The 21,123-nt window shown below is 40.4% G+C and overlaps 1 annotated feature.

The window, feature by feature from the left end:
• Positions 18,937 to 19,557: an enhancer, noted in NCBI's record as "H3K27ac-H3K4me1 hESC enhancer chr9:1224129-1224749 (GRCh37/hg19 assembly coordinates)". NCBI's record gives its function as "activates a minimal SCP1, AML or CMV promoter by ChIP-STARR-seq in primed H9 embryonic stem cells {active_cell/tissue: H9 hESC(primed)}" and the evidence as "EXISTENCE:reporter gene assay evidence [ECO:0000049][PMID:30033119]".

The raw sequence follows: 21,123 nt of genomic DNA, 5'->3' as shown, positions 1-21,123 counted from the left end.
TCTTATTCAAGAATGCATATTAATCTCTGGACCATGCACCTTGGTATGTGTTAATATAACAATATTTCATGTTGTTCTGGCTGCCCCCCAGACCCAAACCATGGTTGACCTCGGTGTCCTTCTTAGTTCTATGGCCCCCACAGCGGGGCCAGCTCATTCATACTGCCTGCTGTCTGCTGAGTCTGGTTCACACATTCTGGGGTCTACCAGTGCTGCTGCTTTTAAAGACTGCTGTTTTTTCACCAAGGAAAGAGAATTCAAGAGAATTTGGTTCACACATTCTGGGGTCTACCAGTGCTGCTGCTTTTAAAGACTGCTGTTTTCACCACGGAAAGAGAATTCAAGCATTGAGTCTTTGCCATTAGCTGAATGATCTGCCCTCAGCTCTCCAAATTAGGAAATGTTAGAATTCTGCCAGGATCCTTTTGCTTACTTCCCAAGAAGACTTCTGTTTCTGAGCAATAGAAATGTCACACCTAGTGTATCAGCAAAAATTCTTCCACGTTTTAGTAATGTCAAAATCATCCTTAATTTTCAATCCCCATGTAGATAATACTGATTTATATAGTCCCTTTGTGACTTCTATGAGTGACCCCAAGTGGAAGGTGTCTGTTAAAAGGCTGGCCTCTTAACTCCCACATTCCCAAAGTCAGTAATAATAATGACAAATACAATAATGGCTACTATTTATCATTCTGTGTGCCAGAACTGTGGTAGGTGTTTCACAGATATTAGTTCATGTAATTTTTATATTAGGTTATAAAGGAAGTACTGATCTCCTTTCTTCTTTAACAGATGAGGAAAGCAAGAGATTAATGTGTCCAAACTTAGACAACTAACAAATGAAAGAGCCAGTGATGGAATCCCATCCTGTTTGACTATAAAACTTATATCTTTAAACTGTGTATTATCTTGCCTCTCATAAGGGGAAAAAAGATACTCAGAATACACTGTGATGAAGCTCCAACAAAACAAATCCCAAAGAAAAGTTCAGGATTGAAGCCGAGATCTCAAACATTAAAAGCAAGGCCATCACTGTTGCATGACCATGTTCCAGCCTGATACCTGTGCTTGCTGCTCACCATGATTGCTTCCCTTAGGAAGTTATAGAGTCCAGCAGTATAACAACTCAAGATCAGAGGGAATGTTACAAAGCCTCAGAACCCACACTTTCTGGGCTTTTTTTTGTTTTGCTTTGCTTTCGTTAGATAAGGTAGCTGAGGTATTCAGAAGCTCACATAGCTAAATAATAGTAGAGCTGGAAAAGGACTTTCAATGTAGTGACACATATGCTTACATGCATGAGAATATTATTTTTATGTTTTAAGCCTTGAGATAGTGGAAGAAATATATAAAGCTGAAGAGATCAAATCCTGGCTCTTCATGACTAGCTATGTGACTTTAGGCAAATAATTAAAACTCTGTGAGTTTTCCTGTCCTCATCTACAAAATAAGAACAAAAGTAATTATCCAACAAGATTTTGGAAGGAGAAAATGAAATAACATAGGTAAAATCAGAGCATGGTACCTGGTATGTAGAAGGCCCTTATCTTAGGAAGCAAGAGAGACAGGGGAGGGAGGTGCTCAGCTCTTTTTAACAATCAGTTCTCATAGGAACTAACAGAGTGAGAACTCACTTATTACTTTGAGGAACACACCAAGCCATTCATGAGGGATCCACTCCTATAACCCAAACACGTCTCATCAGGCCCTACCTCCAACATCAGGAATCAAATCCCAACATGAGATTTGGAGGGGACAAATAATCAAACTATCTCAGTCCTCTAAAAATCTGATTGCCATTAGGAAAACTATACATCTATCTTATTGAACCACAGGGAAGAGATTTGTCCATGTTTAGTCATATCCTCACATCTAAGGACATCATGGCATAGTGGTGATGGTGGCCACAGACAGCTGTGAGTATTGAGAGAGAGGATGAGCCTACAGAACTAGGATGGAGACAGTGGTTAAATCTCAGAAAAATGAGAAGTTAAAAACATTTCCCTCCAATTCTCATTTGAGGCACTTATAGCTCTTCAAACAACTGGATCCATGACTTTGAAACACTCATAGTAGCCTCATATGTCTAGCCTATGGGTCCCGAGTAGTGCAATTATTTATGATGATTATTGTATACCTTGGTTAAGACACAGTTAGCCCATGATTTAAACAGAAAACCCTGGAATCCTGACTTCTCAGGGTACCCTTAACCCTCTGGGATGGCAGAAGCAGCCCTCTCTCTCTTGCCAGAAGAGAGGAGGATTTCTTTCCATGAACTCATACAAGTGTCCAGAGTCGCACCATCCCCATTGACACTGGGGGATGGGGGACTCTGGAGAGGCAGGGACCAGGTGGTCATCAGGGGTTGTGACCCAATGGCTACTAGATTATGGTATGCCTAGGACTGAGATAGGTGGCTGACTATAGTGTTGCTCACCTTGTATGATTAAAGCAGAGAGAGGCTGGGTGCAGTGGTTCACACTTGTAATCTCAGCAATTTTGGAGGCCGAGGCAGGCAGATCACAAGGTCGGGGAGTTCAAGACCAGCCTGGCCAACATAGTGAAACCCCTTCTCTACTAGAAATACAAAAATTAGCCGGGCATGATGGTGCATGCCTGTAGTCCCAGCTACTTGGTAGGCTGAGGCAGGAGAATCTTTTGAACCCAGGAGCTGGAGGTTGCAGTGAGCAGAGATTCCACCACTACACTCCAGCTTGGACACAGAGTGAGACTTTGTCAAAAAAAAAAAAAAAAGAGAGAGAGAGAGAGAGGAGATTGCAGAGCAGAAGACCAGCATCAGCCATGAGCATGGAAAAAATGAGTCCCTCCCCCAGATCTAATCCAGTTTACAGATTCAGAACCCACTGATTATAGGAGAGAGCAGGCCCTCATAAGGAAGGATCTTTCAGTGTAGCTACAAATATAATGGTCAATATTCCTCTAATATTTTATCCAAGGGATTTGCAGTCATTTGCCATGATAACTGTATACTGAGGAAAGGAAGAACCCAGACTTTAATGGCAGAGTCTTTAAATACAGAGACTTTAAATACAGAGTCTGAGCTAACACTAGTAATGGAAAACTAAAATGCTATTGTGCTCTGGTCAGAGTAGGAGGAGGTTTTGGAGGTCCAGTGTTAAATGACTATATATCCTAATTTCATCTCACATTTATTACAAATGGGTTATTTTCCCAAGCCATAAGGGTATAATTGGAATAGGAATATTTAGCAGCTCACATTTGTGTTGTGATTTGTGGATTAAGAGCCATTATGGTAGGAAAGGCCAGCTAGAAGTACCTGAAACTACTTGCCCTGCCCAACTCAGATAATAAAATGAGAAGTAATATCTCACAACCATACCCTCATCATATCCCTGTTCAGCTCAACTGAGCTCTCTGCAAACCAGATGAATTGTGGCAGATCGTGGGGAATTACTGCAAAGGAACCCAGGTAGTTCTCTCAATCACAGCTGCTCTGGTAAATGTTGTATTTTCTCTAGAGAGGGCAACACAGCTTCTGGCACTTGGTATGTGACTTCCAATGTGGGGAGTATTTTCAATTCACAACAATGAGCAGAATCAAAGACAGCTGAGCTGCCTTAGCCTTACATGGCAGAAGAGTACACATTTACTATCTTGCCACAGGGCTATGTGAACTCATGTTCTCCATCGTAATTGAGTCTGCAGGGACCTTGATCTTCTTGACATTCCACCAAACCTTATGCTGGTCCACTACATTAATGACAGTGTGTTCATTGGACCAATGGAGCAAGATGCCCTAGAAATCACCTATGTGCTAGATTAGAGTAGGGTAGTCTTGGAGACATGCCATATCAATGAAGTTTTTAAGAGATACAGTAGTCTGAGTTATGCTGGGATATCTCTTCTAAGGTAAAGAGTTAGTTGCTATAGCTTGCACATTCTACCAGTAAGAAAGAGGCATAGTGTTATCTGGGCCTCCGTGGATTGTGAAGGCAGCACTTACTGCACATAGGAATACTGCTTTTATTCATTTATTGGATGTCTTAGGTTAGGTTCCCCAGTAGCAGAGTCTGAGAGCAGGATATGAGTACCAGTAGTGTATACGCAGGAACTGAAAACCAAATACCACATATTCTCAACTTTTAAGTGGGAGCTAAACATTGAATACACATGGACACAAAGATGGGAACAGTAGACACCAAGAACTGCTTGAGGTGGGAGGCTGGGAGGCAGCTGGGTTGGAAGGCTACGTATCGGGAACTGTGCTTATTAGCTTGGTGATGGTGTCCTAGCTGGGGGAGCATCCATAGCCTCTGCACTGGGAAAACCAGCACTAATGTCAGCATTAATTTGTACACCAAACCTCAGCAACACGCAATTTACCTATGTAACAAACCTGCACATGTATTCCCTGAACCTAAAATAAAAGTAGAAACAGGAAAAAAATATGACAGCTTCTTAAGTATGACTTTGAAAGATATCCAAGAAATACTGTTAAGTGAAATAATCAATGTGCAGAGTAGTGTGTCTGGCATGGTCTCATTTGCTTAAAAAAAAAACCAGGATCAACTAAAAAAAAAGAAAAGAAAGAAAGAGGATCCTAGGATGTGAGATAGGAAAGGGAAGAAATCCAATAAGGGGTGTGTTATTAAGCAGATTACCATTGTGGACAGCTGAGGCTTAATCCCACTGGAGAATTCTGGAAGACAGTGTAGAACACACCTCAGAATTATCCCGAAGGAGGAAAGAACCCATCTGCAATTGCTTGTGGGCTGCTTCTAGGGACATTAATGCTGGAGTTCATGGTGCAGGAGCTACAAATGCTCCCCCAGCCAGTAAAAAGCCCTCCTGCAGAGAGCCACAGGTACTCACAATAAGCAGCTATTTATGTGTGGTGGGGTAGTCACACCAAGTATGTATGGGACAGGCACTCAGAGTGTTGGTTACATTTGGTGACTTACAAGTCTGGCAGTTTCAAATGTGGCCAGAACCAGGGAAGAATCTAAAGCAAATCCAGACTGGTACAAACTGCCACACACACAGGCCATGTGCAGTGTTGATGAAGGCATCCCTAGTGGATAAGACGTGCCAGGGAGTCTCTGACAAGCCTCAGCAGGAAAGTTCAGCACATGCCCCAAGGGCTCCAGAGCAAGGCCTTTAGCAAAGAACTCTTCACTCAGAAAACAGCCACTGTGTTGAAAAACAGCCACAAATGACTCTGCGCTTAGAGCTCCCCATCATGAGCTTGGTATCGTTATATCCACCAAATCATAAGATTCAGCAGGCACAGCACAACTTTATGTAAAATGAAAATGATATATTCAGGATGGAACTCCAGCAAGTACAGAGCAAATCTCATAGACAGGGGACTCAGACCTTCATGCCACCTACCTCTGTTGCCCTAATGCCTGTCCTTCCATTGCACTGTCTCCTTTCCCTGTGGCCTCATTGGACTGTTTGAATCTTCTTGTCCTAAGCACTAGTTACTCTTCTTTCGAATTAAATTTGTCCAGTCAAGCTTGAGAATTTCAGCAGCTCTTGCTTTTGGTGTAGATTTTCATTTTGACTGAGAGTCGTAGCTTCATATGGAGGCCATGAAGCTATTCAGAGGGCAACAGAAATGCTTGGTGACTTCAGATGCGCTTTAAGTAGCTCATAAGGGTTCAGCAAACCATGAAGATAATCGATTTAAGTTCCAGTTTCCTTTCTTCCATGAAAAAGCTTCCATGGGAAGAGCTGTCAGAAAAGCTAATGCATCTCTTGATCTAAAAGAGCTAGTTTAGAATGGGTTTTCTGAAAGGTTTTCAAATATCTCATTATCTTCCTTTCTTAAAGCTGAGAAAGAATGTATTCTTATGGAAAATGGTTTTACTTATACTGCTTATACCCACCTATAGCCAGAAGGCATTATATGTTTTACATATTGAATTCTATAATAACAACCCTATGTTGGCAGGTAATATTTGACCTGTTTTACAAGTAAAAAATGTCAAAGTCACCAAGAGAGTAAGCAATGGAGCCAGTGATGGTGGCAGGAGGCAGACAAATGCCTAAGCATTTAGGAGTGGGTCTCCAGTGAAACCCCGACCTTCAAGCCAAAGACAGTTTAAAGCCTAGCTTCAAGTCCCGGGTAAATCCACAGACCAGATTGAGAACCTGTCTTCCCGTTTGCTGCACTTTCCTCTGATTGGTACCCACCCTTCACTTATTTTACATATACCTACCCTTTCCTTACTGGTTTTTCTACACTGTTGTGCCCACCTTTGAGTGGTGTCTTCGCTTTAACCTTTTTTGCATACTCACAAGCCAATCAGCACACATTCCCCTTTCTGAGTGCATAAAAAGCCCTGGACCCAGCCACACTGGAAGAGAGAAACCACCCAACTGTGGGGGTGAGGGACCACCCTCCCTCAAGTCCCCTCTCCACTTATAGCTGTTTCATTACTCAATAAAATTCTTCTCTGCCCATCTTCAACCTTCAAACTGTCAGTGTATCCTCATTCTTCTTGGATGAAGGACAAGAGCTCACTGATACGGTTTGGCTGTGTCCCTACCGAAATCTCATCTTGAATTGTAGCTCCCATAATTCCCACATGTTGTGGGAGAGACCCAGTTGGAGATAAATGAATGATGGGGGCAGTTTCCCCCATATTGTTCTCATGGTTGTGAATAACATTCAGTTGTTCTATAAGGGGTTTCCCCTTCCACTTGGTTCTCATTCTCTCTTTTATGCTGCTAGGTAAGACATGCCTTTCGCCTTCCACCATGATTGTGAGGCATCCCCAGCCACATGGAACTATGAGTCCATTAAATCTCTTTTCTTTATAAATTACCCAGTCTCAGGTGTGTATTTATCAGCAGTGAGAAAATGGACGAATACCCTCGGGAACCCCCTAGTGCGGGTACAAGCTATAGCCCAGATGGGCCAAGTAGGGGGGTACCTGCAGCGGCAGGCCCATGGCCGAGAGAGGCTCAGGTCAGGGAGAGTGGCCAGTCCTGGAGGCCCCCAGTTGGCAAAGTGATCGAGAAAAGTCCTGCATCACCAGGATTCTAACTGTGTACATGGAAGCCCACGCTTAATCCCTATATTGAATGCCTGGTCAGGTGGTCAAATTTCTGCCTGCTGAAAGCATCTATTAGGTGACACCCTCAGAAAAATCCTCTGCTGAATAGAGCCTACAATTCCTGGCAAGAACATGAAATATTGTTTTTCCTTCTCACAGAAACAAGTGAAACCAATCAGCTGTGATCATTATTCCTGTGTTTTCAAGTACTTCCAAGGCACTTTACATACAAAAATTCCAGAGGCAGACAGTCCACAATCATCAGAGAAAGAGCTTCCTTCTACTTTATTGTATATTATCCTTAATACATGGTTTCCAGCTCACAGTCCAAGATAGAAACCTTAAAATTGCTGTTCTTCTTCCAAAAAAAATAATTCCCTAGAAAAGGGACAGCTGTGAGCCATTAGCAGTCAACACTTTCAACAGCTGGAGGATGGTTGTTCTGGCCCAATAAAGGGAAACCGGGCAGGACTTTAACAGTGGCCACTATGTGGTCCACCCGCCAAATCCACATTGTGGGCAGCAAAAAGGAGAAAGGGGCATTCCCATTCTTCTCTCATTCTTCTCTCATTCTCATTCTCTTATTCTCTTAGTCACATGAGCATAAACAGCAGCAAGGGAACTTGGAGAATACAGTCTTTATCATGGATGGCTATCAGCTCAGTCATTAATTGGTACTTCAATTATTCGACACATCGGGAGGCAATTAGCAGTCTATAGTCCATGCTTCCAACCTGACCCTCAATGTTCCTCCCAAGGCAGAGTGTTTGCACTTGCCTGAGGGCTTCAGGCATTCCAGGCATCCTTCTCACTGACCTAGCACCGGCCCTGGGAACTTCCATGTTCAGGTATAATCGCTGTCTTCTCTCCACCTACCCAGGGCATTCTTACACCTGCAACTTATAGTCTTGACATCTTAGTGCTCAAGGGCCAGCTACCCCCTCTGCTTCCCACTTTGATCCTCTCTCTCAATTCTGGTTTCTGGGACTCCGAGCTATCCCTCTTCCTCATGTGATTAAAATAAAAATATAATATCACTTTTAGGGGAAAGCCACTCCCTACACTAATGTAGCTTTACCTTTATTTGATAACAGTTACCACAATCTCATGCAATTTAAAAGAAATTATAATTCCATACTCAGGATAAAAGGGGAGTGGTTTCCTTATATATGCAGATGGCAGGAATTCTGTGCTTCAAGTTCTGTGCTTGAAGAATACTTTTTTTCCCACTTAATCCTAAGGTTAAGAACTGATTATAAGGTAGTATACTCTGCTAGAAGGGGGTAGGGGGTAGGGGGATGCATTCTGCCTCAGATTTTAAATTATAAGCCAAATTATACAAAGATGTAAAACTTAATGGGAAAACTTAATGGGCTAAGGATGTGAACAAAAGTAGAAATACAAATGGATAATACATCTCAAAAAAATGCAATTTCTAAGAATAAAAATTTAAATAATGAGACATCATTGTCTTTTACCTATCTGATAAAAATTAATGAGAATTATATAAATATAGAAGAAGGGACCAGGCGCAGTGGCTCATGCCTGTAATCCCAGCACTTTGGGAGGCCAAGGCAGGCAGACCACTGGAGCCCAGCCATTCAAGACCAGCATGGGCAACATAGCGAAACCCCATCTTCCACCAAAAATAAATTTAAAAATTAGCCGGGCATGGTGGTGCATGCCTGTAGTGCCAGCTGCTTCGAGGGCTGAGGTGGGAGGATCGCTTAAGCCCAGGAAGCGGAGGTTGCAGTGAGCCAAGATGATGCCACTGCACTCCAGCCTGGGCAACAGAGCCCGATCCTGTCTCCAAAAAAACAAAAACATGAAAGAAAAAAAAAGGAAAAGGTCACTGTCAACTGACTCGGGTTGAAACTAGTACAATTTTGGAGGGAAGACGATTTGATAAGACAATCAAAAATCTTTTTAAAAATGCTTTGATCCCAGGTGTCATCCTGCTGGGAATTGGACAAGAGTGAAAAATGTTTGTACACAATTCAGTTCAAATTTGTTTGTAATAGAAGAAAACCTAAATGCCCAATGCTGAAGGAATGGTTAAATATGTTACTGGACTTCTATGTAACGGACTGCCATGTAGCCATTTGAAATTCCAAGAAACATTTGTTGTCACTGATATTTAGGTTACATTTTCCTTAATTTAGGGAAAAAATGTAGCTTACAAAATAGTGCATGCTGTGTATGCAGTACCATTTTTGTAAAATGTATATGATTATATGTTGATCTTTATACATTTACCGTGTAAATAGTCTAAGAGGATATATACCAAAATGTTACATATTGTTTTCACTGGAAAGCAGTATTTCTGATTATTTTATTGTTTTTATTTCCTTTTTTTTCATATCTGTTTATTGTAAGCATTCCACAAAGTTTTCACTTTGAAAAGTTGCTTTTATTTAAGTTATAAAAAATCTAGAAGAGTATAGCATTGAATATTTACCAATTCTTTGGAGAGGAAATGACTTTCTAAGTAACAGAAATCACAAAGGAAAACACTGATCATTTGCCAAAAATAACAATTATAGTATGTCAAAAAAATAAAATGCAAGAAGTCTGAGGAAAAGTAATATCCATGGCAAACCTTATACCAAAATCTAATATAACATAATCAGATAAACACTACTCTAAAAGTGAAATAGGAAAACATAAGCTATGTATACTGATAATTCTCAAAATGGGCAAAGCAGTCAGAAACACATTAAGAAATTAATTTCACTATTAATTTAATAAAATTAAAACAGGGCTATTAAATTCATAATTATTAGGTTGAGAATTATATGAAGCTAACTCTTGTGCAATGTTTGTAGCCATGTAAATCGGTGCAATACTTTTGGAAAGCCATGTGGCAATACTCATCTGCAGCCAGAAAACTGATTAGCCTTTGACCCAGTAATATCCTAGAGATGCAATCCAGTTTAAGAAATAGCTACATACACGAAGATGTTTATGATCACTTTTTTATAGTAGCAATTTAGAGGAAATATTCTAAATGTCCATGATGAAAGAATGCTTAAATATATTGTTGGTAAATCTACTAAAGGGAATATAATACAACCATTAAAATTAGGGATATGACAATTATGTAATAACAGAAAATTTCTCAGGTTAAGTACCAAAAACAAGATACTAAATTGCATGGTATTTTTAGAGTATGGATAGACAATAGACTCAAGCAAAATGTACAGATATGTTCAGATAACTAACAATTCTTAAAAATTACCAGTAGTCCTGGCTACTCAAAAGGCCAACGAGGGAAGATCACTTGAGGCCAGGAGTTTCAGACCAGCCTGGGCAACATTTCTTTTTTTTAAAAAAATTGCCAATTGTCTCCATTGCCAATATTTTCTTTAAACAACTTTTATTTTTAATAATCTATTTTAAGTGATGGCTATGAAAACTATGCAGCAACATGGAAAATTATAATACAGTGTTATCTGAACAATGTATATCCAGTTGCATGTATATATGGATAACAATCCATAGGATATTGTCTGCTATGATAATAAATGTATGGGTAAATTTTATCTCACTAGCATCAAAATTGGATAATTTTGTAAAGATAACTTATTTATAAACAAGAAGATATAGAACAGCATGATACTATATCAATAAATATACCATTTGAGCAAAAAAATGTCTGGAATGTAAAGGGTAAGAAGCTTATATATAGATTTGCCAACTTTCTTTTTGTGTTCAAAACTACAAATCATTAACCAGCTTTTGCTTTTCTTAACAAATAGAAAATAGTTTCACAATGACTTTGACAAGAACATAGGAAAGAGAGAGAAACAGACATGCATTCGTGTTTTGCAAACTAATTTCTGAGAGGCAGTGAGTAGCCTGAACTCCTGGCCTCAGGAAATGAAAATAGACACGATGCCACTTCCTAGTTCCTAAGTATTTCATAATCCTTTTTCTACAATCAGTCTTCCACACGCCTGGCCTGGGTCCCGGAGAATAAAGTACACAAACTTCTTACTTTTTCAGAATGCCTCGGGTCTGCTCTTTCCTTAGCAAATATTTCCAATGTGCCAACTGTTTACACATGGCTTCTGAACTTTCCCATCCATAGCCAGAGTCCAGCAGGATTTGTCAGTTACTGGTAATTCTCAGGAAACAGAACTCTCGCCATCCTTCGAAGTGAGCAAGGAAGGATTTGCCATGACAGCCTCGCCTTCAGGCACACAGCTGGTATCCACTCCTCCCATGCGAGAGAGAATGGAAGCCTTCAGAAACACTGACTTCAAGCAACCATTGTGCTGTTCTCAGTTTAGTACCACAGTTTTCAAGGTGCATTTGAGAGAAATTGGAAAACAAGCAGATAAGGAAAAGGTTTGCTGCCTGACAGTTTGGTCTTTCGTGTTTAGTTAATAGCCATGACTCGCACAGGAGTGCTGTGCAATAGCCATAATGCTTTCCAGAATGCCTTCAGCATGTTTTCAACTGCTTAGTAAGATTTAGTCTCACTTGCTGACATCACCTCTTGGGGGTTATTTAAGTGTTCAGTTATTTTTCCAAGCAGCCTGGTGGTGTTCCTCTATCCTCTGTAGTATTCCAACCCAGCAGTTCTCAACACTCTCTTAACAATGACAAGGAAGACCAATGACATTTTGCCCATGGGCAAAGTCAGATGTAATGAAACCCACTCCTTCACAAGAATATTTGGCAGAGAAGTTGAATACTAAGCTGATTCCTAATAACTATTCATAATACCTCTAAGTGAAATGCTACCCTCTCCTCTTCCATGCAAGAAAGCATTTCAGGATATCAGTGCACAGGGACATATCATTGAGGAAACTTTTAAGCCACCGAAATTTATTCAAAATTTAAATGATTAGAAAATGGGCATTGCAGTTATTAGTAATAAAAATGACTTATGACACAATTCAGAGCTAAACTTTAGGTACGACTTACTGCCTTCATCACCCAGCAACCCAGGATGTATTTTAACTTCTAAAGATGTCAGAACATACATTGGCTCCATTCTTGCTATAAGAGCGCTACAAGTGGGTTTGACCCTTTGTGGCTTCATCTTGAGGTTTTTGCAAAGCCCGTATGGTATTCCTATTGCTCTTTCCATGGTGGATATTCCTGTAGAATCAAACCCATGGATTCCCCATTCTTGTCAAGAGATATATCCATCATCCATTATGAAAGAGTAAGATCCACTAGGAAGAGCTCAGTGGTGACACTGAGCTGAGCTACTGCAAACTACAGTTCACAATCCCAGCAGCAAAAGGGTGCTACGCTTATCTCCTTTACATTCCCAAATGTCATCTGTTGCCTGTTGTGTCTTTTTCCACATTTCAAATCCTGCTATGATCCATGGTTATGCTTATTTTGAAATATATTATACATAGAAAGAATATATAATATGCATATGTACAGTTTGAAAAATAAAAAAAATGAATACCCATGTACCAAACACCTGGCTAAAGAAACGGAACAACCCCCATAAACCAGAAGCTTCCTCCTTTCACCCCACTACCACCCTCATCCCACACAGAGGGAACCACTACTCTGAATTTTGTGACAATCATTCCTTTCTTTTTCTTTAAGATTTTATTACTGATGATATAAGCCTAAACAATGTATTGCTTCATTCTGCCTGGTTTTGAATTTCAGTATAAGTGAAATCATACAAAATATATCTTATGACTTCCAAAGAAGTAACATGATGTTTTTAAGATTCATCTGTCTTAATATCTATTTCTGTAGTTAATTTATTTTTACTGCTGTATAGCGTTCCATTATATGAATACACCCTACCTTATTTGTCCTATTGAAATGTTCATAGCTTCTGTTTGCCTGCTTGCTTTTTGAAAATTATTTTGTGAGCATTTTTAAAACTGTCTCTCCTTATGAGTGTTCACATATTAAACTTTATTAGAAAGTTGAATTTCTACATAGGCTGGCTTTGTCTCTCAGCTTTCTATTTAGTTCAACTGGTCTTTTAATCTGTTACTGCATGAATATTAAACTGTCTTTATTAAAAATCAATAAGACAAGTCTTATTCTTCTTCTAGAGTGGTTTTATATTTCAGGAGCCCTTTGCTTATCCAAATAAATTGTAGAATCTGTTGACCAGTTATCCTAAAAAAAGTTAAACATGAATTGTATTTACTATAAATCTATGAATAAATTTGAAGGGGATTAATATCTTTCTTTGTAACTACATGAAACATCCTCCTTTTAGTTAGAATCCCTTTTAGTAGCATCATCATTTTCTTGATGAATGGCTTATACTTCATTTTTGTTGATTCCTGTGTACTTGATAATTTTGCAGTTATTGTAAAGTATAAAATTCTTTGAAATTCCATTGTCTAACTGATCATTCATGGTATACAGAATGCTATTGACTTCAGTATACTGAGTTAATATGAAGAACTTTGCTAAATGTATCTACTAATTCTAATAACCTATTCAAAAACTCTTGCATTTTTACACAATTATTTCATCTTGATAGTTTTAATTCTGTCTCTACAATAAGTAATTTTTGATTTTTTTTGTTTTATTTTGTTTTGTTTCCTGACTCACTGCACTATCTTGCTCCTCCAGTAAAATGTTGAACAGAAGTAGTTACAGTAGTCATCCTTGTACTCCTGATCTCAGAAGCTTTCAACATTCTACCATTTATTAAGATTTTTGATCTAAGCTTTCCTTTTTTTTTTCTTTTTTTTTTTTATTTGTTATGTACACCATTAATAGGTGGCTATTCTTTTTTTTTTTTTTATACTTTAAGTTTTAGGGTACATGTGCACATTGTGCAGGTTAGTTACATATGTATACATGTGCCATGCTGGTGCGCTGCACCCACTAACTCATCATCTAGCCTTAGGTATATCTCCCAACTCTATCCCTCCCCCATCCCCCCCACCCCACCACAGTCCCCAGAGTGTGGTATTCACCTTCATGTGTCCATGTGATCTCATTGTTCAATTCCCACCTATGAGTGAGAATATACGGTGTTTGGTGTTTTGTTCTTGCGATAGTTTACTGAGAATGATGATTTCCAATTTCATCCATGTCCCTACAAAGGATATGAACTCATCATTTTTTATGGCTGCATAGTATTCCATGGTGTATATGTGCCACATTTTCTTAATCCATTCTATCATTGTTGGACATTTGGGTTGGTTCCAAGTCTTTGCTATTGTGAATAATGCCGCAATAAACATACGTGTGCATGTATCTTTATAGCAGCATGATTTATAGTCCTTTGGGTATATACCCAGTAATGGGATGGCTGGGTCAAATGGTATTTCTAGTCTAGATCCCTGAGGAATCGCCACACTGACTTCCACAATGGTTGAACTAGTTTACAGTCCCACCAACAGTGTAAAAGTGTTCCTATTTCTCCACATCCTCTCCAGCACCTGTTGTTTCCTGACTTTTTAATGATTGCCATTCTAACTGGTGTGAGATGATATCTCATAGTGGTTTTGATTTGCATTTCTCTGATGGCCAGTGATGATGAGCATTTTTTCATGTGTTTTTTGGCTGCATAAATGTCTTCTTTTGAGAAGTGTCTGTTCATGTCCTTCGCCCACTTTTTGATGGGGTTGTTTGTTTTTTTCTTGTAAATTTGTTTGAGTTCATTGTAGATTCTGGATATTAGCCCTTTGTCAGATGAGTAGGTTGCGAAAATTTTCTCCCATGTTGTAGGTTGCCTGTTCACTCTGATGGTAGTTTCTTTTGCTGTGCAGAAGCTCTTTAGTTTAATTAGATCCCATTTGTCAATTTTGGCTTTTGTTGCCATTGCTTTTGGTGTTTTGGACATGAAGTCCTTGCCCATGCCTATGTCCTGAATGGTAATGCCAAGGTTTTCTTCTAGGGTTTTTATGGTTTTAGGTCTAACGTTTAAATCTTTAATCCATCTTGAATTGATTTTTGTATAAGGTGTAAGGAAGGGATCCAGTTTCAGCTTTCTACATATGGCTAGCCAGTTTTCCCAGCACCATTTGTTAAATAGGGAATCCTTTCCCCATTGCTTGTTTTCCTCAGGTTTGTCAAAGATCAGATAGTTGTAGGTATGCGGCGTTATTTCTGAGGGCTCTGTTCTGTTCCATTGATCTATATCTCTGTTTTGGTACCAGTACCATGCTGTTTTGGTTACTGTAGCCTTGTAGTATAGTTTGAAGTCAGGTAGTGTGATGCCTCCAGCTTTGTTCTTTTGGCTTAGGATTGACTTGGCAATGTGGGCTCTTTTTTGGTTCCATATGAACTTTAAAGTAGTTTTTTCCAATTCTGTGAAGAAAGTCATTGGTAGCTTGATGGGGATGGCATTGAATCTGTAAATTACCTTGGGCAGTATGGCCATTTTCACGATATTGATTCTTCCTACCCATGAGCATGGAATGTTCTTCCATTTGTTTGTATCCTCTTTTATTTCCTTGAGCAGTGGTTTGTAGTTCTCCTTGAAGAGGTCCTTCACATCCCTTGTAAGTTGGATTCCTAGGTATTTTATTCTCTTTGAAGCAATTGTGAACGGGAGTTCACTCATGATTTGGCTCTCTGTTTGTCTGTTGTTGGTGTATAAGAATGCTTGTGATTTTTGTACATTGAGTTTGTATCCTGAGACTTTGCCGAAGTGGCTTATCAGCTTAAGGAGATTTTGGGCTGAGACGATGGGGTTTTCTAGATAAACAATCATGTCGTCTGTAAACAGGGACAATTTGACTTCCTCTTTTCCTAATTGAATACCCTTTATTTCCTTCTCCTGCCTGATTGCCCTGGCCAGAACTTCCAACACTATGTTGAATAGGAGTGGTGAGAGAGAGCATCCCTGTCTAGTGCCAGTTTTCAAAGGGAATGCTTCCAGTTTTTGCCCATTCAGTATGATATTGGCTGTGGGTTTGTCATAGATAGCTCTTATTATTTTGAAATACGTCCCATCAATACCTAATTTATTGAGAGTTTTTAGCATGAAGTGTTGTTGAATTTTGTCAAAGGCTTTTTCTGCATCTATTGAGATAATCATGTGGTTTTTGTCTTTGGCTCTGTTTATATGCTGGATTACATTTATTGATTTGCGTATATTGAACCAGCCTTGCATCCCAGGGATGAAGCCCACTTGATCATGGTGGATAAGCTTTTTGATGTGCTGCTGGATTCGGTTTGCCAGTATTTTATTGAGGATTTTTGCATCAATGTTCATCAAGGATATTGGTCTAAAATTCTCTTTTTTGGTTGTGTCTCTGCCCGGCTTTGGTATCAGAATGATGCTGGCCTCATAAAATGAGTTAGGGAGGATTCCCTCTTTTTCAATTGATTGGAATAGTTTCAGAAGGAATGGTACCAGTTCCTCCTTGTACCTCTGGTAGAATTCGGCTGTGAATCTATCTGGTCCTGGACTCTTTTTGGTTGGTAAGCTATTGATTATTGCCACAATTTCAGCTCCTGTTATTGGTCTATTCAGAGATTCAACTTCTTCCTGGTTTAGTCTTAGGAGAGTGTATGTGTCGAGGAATGTATCCATTTCTTCTAGATTTTCTAGTTTATTTGCGTAGAGGTGTTTGTAGTATTCTCTGATGGTAGTTTGTATTTCTGTGGGATCAGTAGTGATATCCCCTTTATCATTTTTTATTGTGTCTATTTGATTCTTCTCTCTTTTTTTCTTTATTAGTCTTGCTAGTGGTCTATCAGTTTTGTTGATCCTTTCAAAAAACCAGCTCCTGGATTCATTGATTTTTTGAAGGGTTTTTTGTGTCTCTATTTCCTTCAGTTCTGCTCTGATTTTAGTTATTTCTTGCCTTCTGCTAGCTTTTGAATGTGTTTGCTCTTGCTTTTCTAGTTCTTTTAATTGTGATGTTAGGGTGTCAATTTTGGATCTTTCCTGCTTTCTCTTGTGGGCATTTAGTGCTATAAATTTCCCTCTACACACTGCTTTGAATGCGTCCCAGAGATTCTGGTATGTTGTGTCTTTGTTCTCGTTGGTTTCAAAGAACATCTTTATTTCTGCCTTCATTTCGTTATGTACCCAGTAGTCATTCAGGAGCAGGTTGTTCAGTTTCCATGTAGTTGAGCGGCTTTGAGTGAGATTCTTAATCCTGAGTTCTAGTTTGATTGCACTGTGGTCTGAGAGATAGTTTGTTATAATTTCTGTTCTTTTACATTTGCTGAGGAGAGCTTTACTTCCAACTATGTGGTCAATTTTGGAATAGGTGTGGTGTGGTGCTGAAAAAAATGTATATTCTGTTGATTTGGGGTGGAGAGTTCTGTAGATGTCTATTAGGTCTGCTTGGTGCAGAGCTGAGTTCAATTCCTGGGTATCCTTGTTGACTTTCTGTCTCGTTGATCTGTCTAATGTTGACAGTGGGGTGTTAAAGTCTCCCATTATTAATGTTTGGGAGTCTAAGTCTCTTTGTAGGTCACTCAGGACTTGCTTTATGAATCTGGGTGCTCCTGTATTGGGTGCATATATATTTAGGATAGTTAGCTCCTCTTGTTGAATTGATCCCTTTACCATTATGTAATGGCCTTCTTTATCTCTTTTGATCTTTGTTGGTTTAAAGTCTGTTTTATCAGAGACTAGGATTGCAACCCCTGCCTTTTTTAGTTTTCCATTTGCTTGGTAGATCTTCCTCCATCCTTTTATTTTGAGCCTATGTGTGTCTCTGCACATGAGATGGGTTTCCTGAATACAGCACACTGATGGCTCTTGACTCTTTATCCAACTTGCCAGTCTGTGTCTTTTAATTGGAGAATTTAGTCCATTTACATTTAAAGTTAATATTGTTATGTGTGAATTTGATCCTGTCATTATGATGTTAGCTGGTGATTTTGCTCGTTAATTGATGCAGTTTCTTCCTAGTCTCGATGGTCTTTACATTTTGGCATGATTTTGCAGCAGCTGGTACCGGTTGTTCCTTTCCATGTTTAGCGCTTCCTTCAGGAGCTCTTTTAGGGCAGGCTTGGTGGTGACAAAATCTCTCAGCATTTGCTTGTCTGTAAAGTATTTTATTTCTCCTTCACTTATGAAGCTTAGTTTGGCTGGATATGAAATTCTGGGTTGAAAATTCTTTTCTTTAAGAATGTTGAATATTGGCCCCCACTCTCTTCTGGCTTGTAGGGTTTCTGCCGAGAGATCCGCTGTTAGTCTGATGGGCTTCCCTTTGAGGGTAACCCGACCTTTCTCTCTGGCTGCCCTTAACATTTTTTCCTTCATTTCAACTTTGGTGAATCTGACATTTATGTGTCTTGGAGTTGCTCTTCTCGAGGAGTATCTTTGTGGCGTTCTCTGTATTTCCTGAATCTGAACGTTGGCCTGCCTTGCTAGATTGGGGAAGTTCTCCTGGATAATATCCTGCAGAGTGTTTTCCAACTTGGTTCCATTCTCCGCATCACTTTCAGGTACACCAGTCAGACGTAGATTTGGTCTTTTCACATAGTCCCATATTTCTTGGAGGCTTTGCTCATTTCTTTTTATTCTTTTTTCTCTAAACTTCCCTTCTCGCTTCATTTCATTCATTTCATCTTCCATTGCTGATACCCTTTCTTCCAGTTGATCGCATCGGCTCCTGAGGCTTCTGCATTCTTCAAGTAGTTCTCGAGCCTTGGTTTTCAGCTCCATCAGCTCCTTTAAGCACTTCTCTGTATTGGTTATTCTAGTTATACATTCTTCTAAATTTTTTTCAAAGTTTTCAACTTCTTTGCCTTTGGTTTGAATGTCCTCCCGTAGCTCAGAGTAATTTGATCGTCTGAAGCCTTCTTCTCTCAGCTCGTCAAAGTCATTCTCCATCCAGCTTTGCTCCGTTGCTGGTGAGGAACTGCGTTCCTTTGGAGGAGGAGAGGTGCTCTGCGTTTTAGAGTTTCCAGTTTTTCTGTTCTGTTTTCTCCCCATCTTTGTGGTTTTATCTACTTTTGGTCTTTGATGATGGTGATGTACAGATGGGTTTTCGGTGTGGATGTCCTTTCTGTTTGTTAGTTTTCCTTCTAACAGACAGGACCCTCAGCTGCAGGTCTGTTGGAATACCCTGCCGTGTGAGATGTCAGTGTGCCCCTGCTGGGGGATGCCTCCGAGTTAGGCTGCTCGGGGGTCAGGGGTCAGGGACCCACTTGAGGAGGCAGTCTGCCCGTTCTCAGATCTCCAGCTGCGTGCCGGGAGAACCACTGCTCTCTTCAAAGCTGTCAGACAGGGACATTTAAGTCTGCAGAGGTTACTGCTGTCTTTTTGTTTGTCTGTGCCCTGCCCCCAGAGGTGGAGCCTACAGAGGCAGGCAGGCCTCCTTGAGCTGTGGTGGGCTCCACCCAGTTCGAGCTTCCTGTCTGCTTTGTTTACCTAAGCAAGCCTGGGCAATGGCGGGCGCCCCTCCCCCAGCCTCGCTGCCGCCTTGCAGTTTGATCTCAGACTGCTGTGCTAGCAATCAGCGAGACTCCGTGGGTGTAGGACCCTCCGAGCCAGGTGTGGGATATAGTCCCGTGGTGCGCCGTTTTTTAAGCTGGTCTGAAAAGCGCAATATTCAGGTGGGAGTGACCTGATTTTCCAGGTGCGTCCGTCACCCCTTTCTTTGACTCGGAAAGGGAACTCCCTGACCGCTTGCGCTTCCCAGGTGAGGCAATGCCTCGCCCTGCTTTGGCTCGCGCACCCACTGGCCTGCGCCCACTATCTGGCACTCCCTAGTGAGAGGAACCCGGTACCTCAGATGGAAATGCAGAAATCACCCGTCTTCTGCGTCGCTCACGCTGGGAGCTGTAGACTGGAGCTGTTCCTATTCGGCCATCTTGGCTCCTCCTTCCGATCTAAGCTTTCATAGTGGCCCTTGGTTGGGTTAAGAAGGCTTTTTTGGGCCAGGCGCGGTGGCTTATGCCTGTAATCCTAGCACTTTGGGAGGCCAAGGCAGGTGGATCACCTGATGTCAGGAGTTCGAGCCCAGCCTGGCCAACATAGTGAAACCCTGTCTTCACTAAAAAATACAAAAAATTAGCCAGGTGTGGTAGCAGGCAACTGTAATCCCAGGTACTCTGGAGGCTGAGGCAGGAGAATCGCTTGAACCCAGGAGGCAGAGGTCACAGTGAGCCAAGATCACGCCACTGCACTCCAACCTGGGTGACACAACAAGATTCCATCTCAAAAAAAAGAAAAGAAAAGAAAAGAAAAGAAAGAACGCTTTCTCTATTCCTAGTTTGGTTAGAGATTTTATCATAAATACCCTGTTAGCCAAGTGAGTTGCTAATACTGAACCTTAGAATTAAAATGACATAAACACACCCACCCAGTCATGGCAAAACTGATCTGAATAGCAGATCCCTCTAGGGAAGGCCCCTCCACAGTATTTGGCATGGGACAGAGAACTCATGTCCTCTGCAGAAAGGCACATTTCTAAATGAAAGGAGAATGGATAAAGCTGAAATAAGCATGACTGGTTATTCTTCCAGTATTTACTAATCAGGTGTCATTCATGTCCCCTAGCATAGAGTGAGTAAAAGGACTGTAACGTTCTTCTCCACCAGAGTTTTTAAAAAGAGAGAATTGTAGAGAAGCTCTGTCCCTAAGTCATCCCATTTTAAAGATGAGGCTTTTACATGCAGAGGAACCCATCTTGTAGAAAGTTCAGAGGGCATGGACAGGGAATGAGAGGACTAGGGAAGAAATCCATTGTTTCTTACTTAATTTCTCAGCAAATGTGCAAAGAATGAAGAATTGCAGTTCTTTGCATTTCCAGCCATCTGTAAAGCTGTAGGAACAATCAGGATAGATTCTCCCCTAAGTAAAGTTTGAGTCAGTCTGTATACCTTCTGTATATACAACCAGAAGAAAAAAAAAATCTGTCTTTCTAATAAGTCCTCCGTGGAAGGATTAACTTTCAAACTTCTTTGACTATGGTTCACAATAAGAAACTTTTTTCAGCATGCACGCACTACACATGCTGAAAAAATGTTTTACAAATAATTCTTACTCTTACTTCATGTAAAGGGCTAAAGCACTTCAGAGCTTTACTCTGACCCTATGAGTCAGGAAGGAAGCTGTCTCTCTCAGCTCATGCTACTATAACAAAATATCATTGACTGGGTAATTTATAAACAACAGAAATTTATTCTCCGCAGTTCTGGAGGC

The sequence above is a fragment of the Homo sapiens genome, chromosome 9, assembly GCF_000001405.40.
Source record: "Homo sapiens chromosome 9, GRCh38.p14 Primary Assembly".
Taxonomy (NCBI): domain Eukaryota; kingdom Metazoa; phylum Chordata; class Mammalia; order Primates; family Hominidae; genus Homo; species Homo sapiens.
Note: the sequence above shows the minus strand (reverse complement) of the source record. Positions and strands in the feature narration are given on the sequence as shown.